The following is a 13,010-nucleotide window of genomic DNA, read 5'->3' as shown; positions in this document are numbered from 1 at the left end:
CAGTCACTGAACACACCTGTGTAATCTGCCAGGCTTCAAGATTTTACATATTGTATGTCATTTAATCTTTCTACCCACAATAAAGAAAAGGATTTGTGTCACCCGATAGCAAATTCTACCCCTCCCACATGGGCATGCGAGGTGTGAGTATCCAGGCAGGGAAAGTGGAATGAATCACAGTGATAGTTAACATTTCTGAGAGTTCATGGACCCTCCTGAAATCGTCTGGCCACAAACATTATTGCATAGGGTTCTAGAATGTTCCTTAACCTCCTGAAGCATGTTACCTTCATTTTTACAAATAAGAAAATGAAGACTGGGAAAATTTAGATGATTGTGCCCAAGGTCACCTGCATAAGCAAGCAGTAGAGGCAGCATTTACACTGAGATCTGTTTGGCACCAAAGTTTTTCTTACTCCATGTTGCATTTTGCTAAAACAATATGCAGTTCATTCTCCCTTCATCTTCATGACTTCTGTTAAACAATAAATACTTCACTAAAACCTTGATGGTTGCTTTTTCTAGTGCCACAATTCTGTAATTTGCCTTCTTTGTCCCCTACTTCTACCCACTCCTTACCCAAATGTAAACCAACACCAAAATAGAATTTAAATATGCATAGATCAATTGAGTACAGTATCTATTAATAGGTAAATTTAAAGGAAAATTAGACAAAATCTTAAGGCACCATGCAAAACATTAAGTGAGCCCTTCCCTGCTGCAAGCATTAATTACCCTTTGTGCTTTGTAAAGTCACCATATCACAGCCTGGGAAGTGCATAGGGACAAGAATGAGAGAAGATGTTCTTATTTATTACCTGATTTGTTGGGACGATCACTTGTTCAAGCAAAATCCTCTGCCTTTTAAAAAGTCATTTGGCTCAAAAATAAAGAAAGATATCTTTGAATCTTCTAAATCAACAAATGAGATTAGCTAGTATTTGAGTATTTACCATTTGAAAATATTTGCTGGTCTTGTATAAATGCTTAAATTTAATGTATACACATTATATAATGTCTTCTTTCTTTTTAAAAAAGAATAAAAATGTACATGATTTCAATTTTAAAAATATAGATACTTATGGGTAGAAAAGGAGTTAGAGAATGTTAACATAATTATCTTTGGGTAGTGGAAATGCAGATTATTTTTCTTATCTTTTTCTATAGTAAACATAAACTATCTTCATAATCAGAAAGAAATCTTCTTGATATAAAATACATACATCTTTGACACTACACAGGAATCCAAGAAATTCAAAATGACAGCTGTGTATATATTTCAAGCTAAATGTGTGTTTCTTGTGGAGTACTATAAAACTGAAGTATGAAGGGACAGATAATTTGGGGCATGTGTCCCCATACCAGTGAAATTATAGGAGTCAAGTGGTATTTCCAAAGCCTTAAGTACTTTCTTTATCTTTCCTGGATGGTTCAGAGTAACAATTTTTATAATATATACTATATTGAGAAGTATATATTATACAGTGTCACACACACACACACACACACACACACACACACAGAAAGAGAGCGAGAGAGTACGCTGATAGAGTTTGCTTTGGTTTTATAATATAAGACCAAACTTCCCAGATGTCTTTGGAGAAGAAAATCCCTAAATGATAAAATCCCAAAACCCTTCAAATCACAAAATAAAACTGTCAAAGGTAGAGAAACATAATTAAAAAGAACCTGGGGTGAGAAAGCTCAATGGACTCAAATTGGCCATAGCAGAAAGCACATTTCCTTTAGGCAGAATGATAGTGATGACAAATATGCAGCTCGTTTATTCTTCATTAGTTATTTAGTACACTTAGCATTAACACCAGTTCCTTCGAAACTCATCAAAATGTAGCATTGTCTTTATCTGCAACACCCTGACTCAGAGGATGCCCACTCTCTCTTTCCCTCTTTGAAGTTGGCTATCTGGGCTCCTCAGTATTTGGATATCAGGTATCAGCAGGTTCATCTGCTTTGAGATGTTTCTCTTCTATACTGGAGGTTCTAGAGAAGTGTTAGAGAGCTACTAAAGTGGTCAGACAAGGAGGATTTGGTCATGATGGAGTCCGCAGAGAGGGGATGAGAAGGGAAGAAACTAGACCCACCGTGAATAAGGAAGGACTTGGGCCAGGTGAAGGTCATTTCTGAGAGTCAGGTGCTGGGGTTGGGTCCCAACCTAAGTAAGATGACAGTGCCAGGGCAGAGCAGTAGGGGCAGGGAGAGGATGAAGCAGGGGAAGCCCTGCCTCAAAGCTTGAGGGTATTTAGTTCATCCTATCATATTGTTTTGGTGTAATGGTGGTGTTTGGGTGCTCAATTTCTTTATTAAGTTTATTTAAATAAACCTATCAAACAAGATGGTTTCAGTGAAGAAGATTCCATCTGTCTCAGTTTTGCAATATTTAATGTCCCCTTTTGTGTTTTCCTTCCTCATCTCCTCTAAGTAATAAAACAACATAGATGAATTTTACCCAAGCTCCTCTAGGACCTCTTCCAGATTGTATAATCTAAAATAGACAGCACTGAGGTGGGCCAACCAATGTAATCATGAGGCAAAATATGGATGACCATGTTCAATTTGAGAAGCAAGAAAGTATGGTGAAATTTGGGGATCATATGCAAGTAAGCATTTATGAAGAGATGTGTATGGTGAGCTAGGATGGCAGAGACAGCATTGTGAAGAATAAAATTCAGAAGGTTGTGAGATGAGGGTTATGAAAACCAAGGCCACTCAATGACTGGCTGTGAATGGCATTTGATGGAACTCTAAGGAAGAGAGAATGCCAGGAGAGGTAGATGGGAGAGTGGCATGTGCACAGTGACTGAAATGACTCTGCCAAACCATCTGACATTATCAGGTGGCTTACACACAGTTCCCTCCCTGTGCCCATATCAAAATGGGGGATATCATGCTACGATGTGCCAGTGGACCAAGTTGCTCCAATAAGCAATACCAGCTACTAGAAATGGTTTTCTGTGAGCATCTGTCTTTGTCTGGAATCCAGCTGGAATTTAAATGGTTGTGGATTGAACTGCTATCTGTGTTATGTGGCTGCTCATTTTCAGTATCATCCTATGAGCATAAAATTCAGATTTCTGATCTTAGCATTCAAGGCCATCCACAGTCTAGCCCAGTACTGTCCTCTTCTCTACTTTTCCCACAATCCACACACTCCATCCAATCAGGATTACTCTCCATCATTAAGAATTCTCAACTCTGCATCATACTTCACAACTTAACTTCCCTCTTCCACTCTAATTGTCCACTTATCTATCACTTAAGACATTCACGAAGGGCAGCCAAGATGGCCGAATAGCAACAGCTCCGGTCTACAGCTCCCAGCGTGAGTGACGCAGAAGACGGGTGATTTCTGCATTTCCATCTGAGGTACCGGGTTCATCTCACTAGGGAGTGCCAGACAGTGGGCACAGGACACTGGGTGCAGTGCACCGTGCACGAGCCGAAGCAGGGCGAGGCATTGCCTCACTCAGGAAGCGCAAAGGGTCAGGGAGTTCCCTTTCCTAGTCAAAGAAAGGGGTAACAGATGGCACCTGGAAAATCGGGTCACTCCCACCCTAATACTGCGCTTTTCCAACGGGCTTAAAAAACGGCGCACCAGGAGGTTATATCCCACACATGGCTCGGAGGGTCCTACGCCCACGGAGTCTCACTGATTGCTAGCACAGCAGTCTGAGATCAAACTGGAAGGCAGCAGCGAGGCTGGGGGAGGGGCACCCGCCATTGCCCAGGCTTGCTTAGGTAAACAAAGCAGCCGGGAAACTTGAACTGGGTGGAGCCCACCACAGCTCAAGGAGTCCTGCCTGCCTCTGTAGGCTCCACCTCTGGGGGCAGGGCACAGACAAACAAAAAGACTGCAGTAACCTCTGCAGACTTAAATGTCCCTTTGAAGAGAGCAGTGGTTCTCCCAGCACGCAGCTGGAGATCTGAGAACGGGCAGACTGCCTCCTCAAGTGGGCAGCCTAACTGGGAGGCACCCCCCAGTAGGGGCAGACTGACACCTCACATGGCCAGGTACTCCTCTGAGACAAAACTTCCAGAGGAACGATCAGACAGCAGCATTTGTGGTTCACGAAAATCTGCTGTTCTGCAGCCACCACTGCTGATACCCAGGCAAACAGGGTCTGGAGTGGACCTCTAGCAAACTCCAACAGACCTGCAGCTGAGGGTCCTGTCTGTTAGAAGGAAAACTAACAAACAGAAAGGACATCCACACCAAAAACCCATCTGTACGTCACCATCATCAAAGACCAAAAGTAGATAAAACCACAAAGATGGGGAAAAAACGGAGCAGAAAAACTGGAAACTCTAAAAAGCAGAGCGCCTCTCCTCCTCCAAAGGAACGCAGTTCCTCAGCAGCAATGGAAAAAAGCTGGACGGAGAATGACTTTGACGAGTTGAGAGAAGAAGGCTTCAGACGATCAAACTACTCCGAGCTATAGGAGGAAATTCAAACCAAAGGCAAAGAAGTTAAAAACTTTGAAAAAAATTTAGAAGAATGTATAACTAGAATAACCAATACAGAGAAGTGCTTAAAGGAGCTGATGGAGCTGAAAGCCAAGGCTCCAGAACTACGTGAAGAATGCAGAAGCCTCAGGAGCCAATGCGATCAACTGGAAGAAAGGATATCAGTGATGGAAGATGAAATGAATGAAATGAAGTGAGAAGGGAAGTTTAGAGAAAAAAGAATAAAAAGAAACGAACAAAGCCTCCAAGAAATATTGGACTATGTGAAAAGACCAAATCTGCATCTGATTGGTGTACCTGAAAGTGACGGGGAGAATGGAACCAAGTTGGAAAACACTCTGCAGGATATTATCCAGGAGAACTTCCCCAATCTAGCAAGGCAAGCCAACATTCAGATTCAGGAAATACAGAGAACGTCACAAAGATTCTCCTCGAGAAAAGCATCTCCAAGACACATAATTGTCAGATTCACCAAAGTTGAAATGAAGGAAAAAATGTTAAGGGCAGCTAGAGAGAAAGGTCGGGTTACCCACAAAGGGAAGCCCATCAGACTAACAGCGGATCTCTCGGCAGAAACTCTACAAGCCAGAAGAGAGTGGGGGCCAATATTCAACATTCTTAAAGGAAAGAATTTTCAACCCAGAATTTCATATCCAGCCAAACTAAGCTTCACAAGTGAAGGAGAAATAAAATACTTTACAGACAAGCAAATGCTGAGAGATTTTGTCACCACCAGGCCTGCCTTAAAAGAGCTCCTGAAGGAAGCACTAAACATGGAAAGGAACAACTGCTACCAGCCACTGCAAAATCATGCCAAAATGTAGACCACTGATGCTAGGAAGAAACTGCATCAACTAACGAGCAAAATAACCAGCTAACATCATAATGACAGGATCAAATTCACACATAACAATATTAACTTTAAATGTAAATGGACTAAATGCTCCAATTAAAAGACACAGACTGGCAAATTGGATAAAGAGTCAAGACCCATCAGGGTGCTGTATTCAGGAAACCCATCTCACATGCAGAGACATACATAGGCTCAAAATAAAAGGATGGAGGAAGATCTACCAAGCAAATGGAAAACAAAAAAAGGCAGGGGTTGCAATCCTAGTCTCTGATAAAACAGACTTTAAACCAACAAAGATCAAAAGAGACAAAGAAGGCCATTACATAATGGCAAACGGATCAATTCAACAACAAGAGCTAACTAACCTAAATATATATGCACCCAATACAGGAGCACCCAGATTCATAAAGCAAGCCCTGAGTGACCTACAAAGAGACTTAGACTCCCACACAATAATAATGGGAGACTTTAACACCCCACTGTCAACATTAGACAGATCAACGAGACAGAAAGTTAACAAGGATACCCAGGAATTGAACTCAGCTCTGCACCAAGCAGACCTAATAGACATCTACAGAACTCTCCACCCCAAATCAACAGAATATACATTTTTTTCAGCACCACACCACACCTATTCCAAAATTGACCACATAGTTGGAAGTAAAGCTCTCCTCGGCAAAAGTAAAAGAACAGAAATTATAACAAACTGTCTCTCAGACCACAGTGCAATCAAAATAGAACTCAGGATTAAGAAACTCACTCAAAACTGCTCAACTACATGGAAACTGAACAACCTGCTCCTGAATGACTACTGGGTACATAATGAAATGAAGGCAGAAATAAAGATGTTCTTTGAAACCAACAAGAACAAAGACACAACATACCAGAATCTCTGGGACACATTCAAAGCAGTGTGTAGAGGGAAATTTATACCACTAAATGCCCACAAGAGAAAGCAGGAAAGATCCAAAATTGGCACCCTAACATCACAATTAAAAGAACTAGAAAAGCAAGAGCAAACACATTCAAAAGTTAGCAGAAGGCAAGAAATAACTAAAATCAGAGCAGAACTGAAGGAAATAGAGACAGAAAAAACCCTTCAAAAAATTAATGGCTCAGAAAACTGAGCCAGGAGTAAAAGGACATGAATGCTAGATACATCTTCTTCCTTTAATTTATTTATCCAACAAATATTTAATAGGCAGCTATTACATATCAGATATCTGCTAGACTTTAGCTATATAGCAACGTGAAAAAATAGGCATGGGCCTTGTTCTCGTGAAACGTAAGTACCCAATGAAGGATAAATATGTCAGCAATCTTAAAAATTCATTCAACAAATACGTATTCATTCAACATATATATAATATGTACCAGACACTGTTCTAGGTACTTGAGATAATGATGAAAAAGTAGACAGAGATTCGCCGCCATATAGGGTTTACATTCTAGTAGGATAAGACAGAAAATAAAACCTCTAGACATAAAAAATAAGTTATGTATATATCTTATTAGAGGGTGATAAATATTATGGAAAAGGGGGGGAAAGTAGGGTAAGGGTTTTTAGTAATGGAACAGGGATTAAGATAGGATTTGGGATGGGTTGTCATTTTAAACAGGACAGTCAGTGTAGTCTCATTGAGAAGGGGACATTAAAGCAAAAATTTATAGGAGTTGGGGGAATTGACTATGCAAATATCCAGGGAATGTGTGTTCTCTTAGAGAGAATAGCCAATGTAAAAGGTCTAATATGGGAATATCCAGGAGTGTTCCAGGTATAGAAACAAGGCTCAATTGTCTGGAGCTGGGTCGGCAAGGGGTGAAAAAACAGGTATAGGAGAGTGGTTGTGGATTATGCAGGGCCATGTGGGCCGTTGTAAGGACTTTGGCTTTCACTAAGATAAATGGGGAGCCATTGTAGGGGTTTGAGCACAGAGCAATATGACCTGACTTACATTTTAACGGAAGGACTTGTTTCATATTACAACCTGTAACTGTAGATCATGATAGATGTGTTCTAAAATGGGATAAGAGAGGGACCTAATTTGAAATATCTGTTTGATCTTGGGCCCTAAGCTTAGCCAACCTCAGCCCTGCCTCACTGGGTCATTGTGGTGAGGACTTGACAACATGCTGTATCCATATGCACATGCTGTATACTATTCTTTGTAATAATGCAGAATGAAACAGAATCCAGTGTTAGATTATGAGCTACACACTGCATTAGTAGTAAAAGCATGAGTTGCATTGTGGAAAGGAGTAGTGTCACCCCCCAAGGGGTGAAAATTGGTTCTTGGGAAGCAAAAAGAAAAAAAAGTTACTCTTTTAATGTACAAAATGCATATGTATATACAATATGCAAACAGATATGTAGTATATCTGCAGCATTTTTATTTCATAGAGAAATATCTGAAAAGGCTCCTTTGGGAGCAGGGAAGGGACAGTGTGTGATCATGAAAAAAAGATTGGAAAATACTGAGTTAAGGAAGAGATTTAGTAGCAGAAATATTACTGAGCTGGAGGTTCAAAAACCACAGCTAAAGTCAGCTCCGCCATTAAGTTTTTGTGTAAACTTGGACCATTCACTTCCACTTTCTAGGTTTAAATTTTTTTCAAATGTAAAATAAAATGTTTGAATGATCTCTTAGGTTTTCACCAGCTGTAAAACTAGGAGGAAGATTTGAACTGGAATCCATTCAATTAAAAACACCTGATTATAGAACCTATCAAAATGTGTAAGGTATTTGGACCCATTGAATGTCACTTTTCAATAAGATAAATGTCCAGTGTCAATAGCCTTTGAAGTCTCTGACCTCTTTTTCCTTACCCATTCTTTAAGCTAGAATTCTAGAAATGCTGCTCTAATTCCCAGTAGAAGATTCCTGGATACAATATTGAAGTCTAAGAGTACAACGAAGTTTTGCCAAGATGCCCATCAAATGTTCTGAAGCTTGTCAACAGGAGTTGCATTGCTTCACAGTTTTCACATGATTTCTAGACATTAAAGTCCCTTTACAACCTAGCTGGGTTGTCACTTCAAGGAGAAAGATGTATGTGGTGTGGCAAAGGGAAGCAGGAATTAGCAGGATAGAGTACCAGATTAAAAAGAATTTGGGGGGCACACATATTCACAGCATCTGTGGATGGCATTGACTGAACAGCCTTGTGCATACAATTTTTTATTGCTTATCCAGACCTGGGCTTATTGCACTAAGAAAACTTTAAATAGTTTTTCCTCGGTTTTATTTTTCTCTTCTGGGCCCTCCAGCTACATTTAAAAGCCCCTTTGAAGACAGAGAATGTGTCTTCTAACGCTTTTGTTGTGCTCAATTCAGCATTCTGTATATGATAGGATTTTAGTGAATGTTTGTTGATGGTGATGATCATGCAGATTTAAGGGGGAAAAATAAAAATTAAAGCCATAAGTCTTTGAGTCCCTAATTTGGGTGGTCTATACTGATGTGTCTATAGGCCAGAGCATTTATCTTCTTTTCCTTCTGCTGTTTAATCACCTAGTGGTGTTTCCAGATAAGAAATGTAAATGGAATTCATTACCTAACCAGGGCATGTAATTCATTTATCACAGGGTATCAATAGGCAAATAATTGTTCTATGTGATAAATTCAGCAGTAAATAGATGAGAGGCCATTGTGAAGAATTGTAGCTCTCCACTGAATTGCAGGGGTTCTTGAATGTTGTCAACATTTGGAGGCAGTTGGAGGAGGGAGCTCTATTGATGAAAAATGGCTACATATTCAAAATTTCAGTGTATACCAGGAAGATAATTCAATTCAATCTCTGGCTTACCCAAAGAATCTTGGAGTTACTGCCAATGAGGAAATCCCCAGGGTCTAATAAAAATATCTTTAGGAGTGAAGGAGTTAACTGAGTGTGTAAGCTTTATCTTCTGTCCAATGGACTTGTGGTTTGCTTATAAAACTCTCCAGTAAATAATTGTTAGAGACCTGTCATTGATAGCAGTTGCTAGTTGCTGCCTTTTAAGAGCTCGTTGATTCCTCTGCAAGGTGGTGCAGCATCCTCTGTCCCTTCATTCATTTCAGATCTACTCAGGTCTCCCTGTAAACAGATCTCTCGGATCAATAAGCATGAATGACGAAGACTACAGCACCATCTATGACACAATCCAAAATGAGAGGACGTATGAGGTTCCAGACCAGCCAGAAGAAAATGAAAGTCCCCATTATGATGATGTCCATGAGTACTTAAGGCCAGAAAATGATTTATATGCCACTCAGCTGAATACCCATGAGTATGATTTTGTGTCAGTCTATACCATTAAGGGTGAAGAGACCAGCTTGGCCTCTGTCCAGTCAGAAGACAGAGGCTACCTCCTGCCTGATGAGATATACTCTGAACTCCAGGAGGCTCATCCAGGTGAGCCCCAGGAGGACAGGGGCATCTCAATGGAAGGGTTATATTCATCAACCCAGGACCAGCAACTCTGCGCAGCAGAACTCCAGGAGAATGGGAGTGTGATGAAGGAAGATCTGCCTTCTCCTTCAAGCTTCACCATTCAGCACAGTAAGGCCTTCTCTACCACCAAGTATTCCTGCTATTCTGATGCTGAAGGTTTGGAAGAAAAGGAGGGAGCTCACATGAACCCTGAGATTTACCTCTTTGTGAAGGTAAGGTCTGCCTCTGACAGGCATACCCTGTTCATGCAGATATTATGGCTGGTGTTTTATTTTGCTCTGAATGACCAGGGAAAGATTCATAATGCCATGGTCCTTGGATCTCAATACATATTCAGGAGTCGGAGGGACTAAATCAGTCATTAGAGTGTACTCAGCTCTTCACAAAATTAGAGGAATTGGAAGGTGCATTTAAAGCACGTATTTAATCACTGACTTTTACATACCATGGGCAAAGTATTTTTCAAAACGGTTCACATAAGTGAGCCATAACTGCTGCCCAAATCCTTGCCATTGTGGCTGACATTAAGTACATTTTTCTGTCTGGTTAAATTTCCTTTGTCAACATGTTTAAAAGTGAAACCAAAGCTTGTGAAAGAAAGACCTTCTTGTGCTTCTAAGGTCACAGATTTGTCAGATAGGTGGTCAATAAAGGCTATCTCTGTCACTAGCTTGCCCCTTTGGCACCAATATAACTAAAAATTTGATGAAGTCAAATGATTTCAGTAGTAGTAAGACACTACCAGTGTTAATGTTTAATGCTTACGATATCTAAACAGAACCTTGGTGATCTTTGTATTAGATGATAAAGTAATAAAGTTATGGTTATAAATATTATCAAAATGTAAAGTGTTTCAGACCTAAACAAATCATCTTTATTAATCAAGATGGCAGGCCCTTTTTCCCCAACATCTCCCCCACAATATTCATATTTATGTGATTTTTAGAAATGTTTTCACATTTATTATATAAATATATTTGTAAATGCTGCTCTTTCCTGCCAATAAAAATGATTATAAACCTACAGAAACCATAGTTCATACTCATTTCTCTCTTCCCCAGTTCCCAGTAACATTTCTGATGAAACACACTTTACTAATTTTGCCCTTTGTTGTCTTGTAATTTGTTCTTTTCTCTAATTGTTTTGTGTGTAAATCATGGATCACTTATTCTACTACAAGGTCCTTTTAAAAATAATCTAGTATAGTGCTTGGTTCACACATACATACCAGACACACATTGCCTTGTACTCTGCTGAGCATTTGGGGGGAAAGGGCTGTGCAAGACAAGGCCCTTGCTCTTAAGTAATGAATAATATGGTGACAGAGACAGACTTGCACTCAATGTATTCTAATACAATATAGTAAGAGATGAAACAGAGGAGTGGGTGGAGTGTGTGGGTGTTCAGAGAAGGAGTGCTGAGATGTGTACTGAGTTTGGAGCAGCTCCACGGAGGAGGTGATGTTAGAACAGGTGCATTCACGCAGTTTTCTGACCTCCATATCCACATCATCACTGTCACACTGTGCAAACAAACTTTTTTTTTTTTCTTTTTTGAGACAGAGTCTCACTGTGTCACCCAGGCTGGAGTGCAATGGCATGATCTCAGCTCACTGCAACTTTCACCTCCCAGATTCAAATGATTCTCCTGCTTCAGCCTCCCGAGTAGCTGGGATTACAGGCATGTGCCACCTGGTCTGGCTAATTTTTGAATTTTTAGTAGAGATGGGGTTTTGCCATGTTGGCCAGGCTGGTCTCAAACTCCTAACCTCAAGTGATCCACCCGCCTCAACCTCCCAGAGTGCTGGGATTACAGACGTGAGCCACAGCTCCTGGCCACAGACTTTTTTAAAGTGAGGACTAGATGTATTTTTTTTTTCTCATGGCAGAAGCATCCATGCAACCTGTGACAGGCAAAGTGGGTCATCACCATGATCATCATCATGGACCCATCTGACATTATTTCTAAATTTGGCTAAGTGTTTATCTCACTAGAAATTAGCCTATGGCTGGTATTGAGCAAAAACAGAAGTAGTAGGAAAAAGAAGTGTTGGTACTTCCTGGCAGTACCAGCAACAGGGAAAATTGATTGACTATAACATGTAATTCCTAAATTACTTAAAATTTCCTAAAGCAAATATTAGATTTAACTCTTTAAGTTTACATTCTTTTTAGCATAATTGTGTGAACTGAAAGGCCATAGAGTGTCCCACTGACCTCAGCTTCTATGCATAAACTCCTTTTTAAGGATATTCAGTAATAAAAAGAGCGGCAGTTATAATCCCTGCTTCCTAGCTCCACACTCGGCCCTATCTTCACTGAAGTTCCTTACCCAATGTTGAATGGAAGTAGAATATATAAAATCGAGTAAAACAGGGCCTTCTCTGCTTGAGTGAAACTGTAGGGTGTGAGTGTGACCTCTCAGGCCTTTTCCTCTTCCCTGCTCTGTGGAAGGGATGTTGGTCCCCCACACTGGAGGGAGCTCTGTGGCTCACTGTCTTCCTAGTAGGGCTTACGGCTTTTCAGTTCTGGATGTTCTTCTCCTGGGCTGTTTTAGTGTGGACCACTGGGCTGCATTGATACTTGTATTCATTTGTGTATGTTTTCACCTGTTCTAGACATGTTGGTGAGAATGTCATGCAGGTTTGTAAGTATATGTTTAACCAACATTTTATTGAGGCTTAATCATTTCAGAGTGTTGACCAATTATTTAATTAAGTAACATATGTCATTCATTTATTCATTCAACAGATCTTATGTCAGGTGCTGGGTTTACACCAATGAAGAAAAAAAAAGTCTCGTCTCCCATGCACTTTTTTTTTTTTGGGACGGAGTTTCACTCTGCCACCCAGGCTGGAGGGCAGCTCACTGCAACCTCTGCCTCCCGAGTAGCTTAGATTACAGGCATGCGCCACCATGCCCAGGTAATTTTTGTATTTTTAGTAGAGACGGGTTTTCACTATGTTGTTCAGGATGGTCTCGATTTCTTGACTTCAGTGATCCACCCACCTCGGCCTCCCAAAGTTCTGGGATTACAGGCATGAGCCACCGCGCCCAGCCATGTCTCCCAGGCACTTTGCATTGTAGTGGGAGAGACAACTGATAAACAAATAAACAAATAAATATAAAATAGGGCTAATGGTGAAAATGCTATAAAACAGGATATGGGTGTATTAATTTCTTATTTCTGCTCTAACAAATTACCTAAAACTTAGTGGATTAAAAGAATACAAATATTCTCT

General features: G+C 40.4%; 1 protein-coding gene across 6 annotated transcripts in view; it reads left to right on the top strand.

Annotated features, from left to right (window-relative positions):
* The window catches only part of CLIC5 (chloride intracellular channel 5), a 248,993-nt gene that overhangs the window by 40,136 nt on the left and 195,847 nt on the right, over positions 1-13,010 (top strand). For 4 of the 6 annotated variants that reach the window (XR_926258.4, NM_001114086.2, XM_011514692.4 and 1 more), the window contains exon 1: positions 9,336-9,981. The exons of 1 other annotated variant lie outside the window; for it this stretch is intronic. Coding sequence is in view for 4 of the 5 variants with exons in the window: in NM_001114086.2 (NP_001107558.1) it covers positions 9,442-9,981 (540 nt within the window). In the remaining variant the exon portion in view is untranslated. Of the gene's footprint in view, positions 1-9,335; positions 9,982-13,010 lie in introns of those variants that run through there. One more of the 6 variants, NM_001370650.1, reaches the window with a different exon arrangement.

This window comes from Homo sapiens, chromosome 6 (genome assembly GCF_000001405.40).
Source record: "Homo sapiens chromosome 6, GRCh38.p14 Primary Assembly".
Classification (NCBI taxonomy): Eukaryota; Metazoa; Chordata; class Mammalia; order Primates; family Hominidae; genus Homo; species Homo sapiens.
Note: the sequence above shows the minus strand (reverse complement) of the source record. Positions and strands in the feature narration are given on the sequence as shown.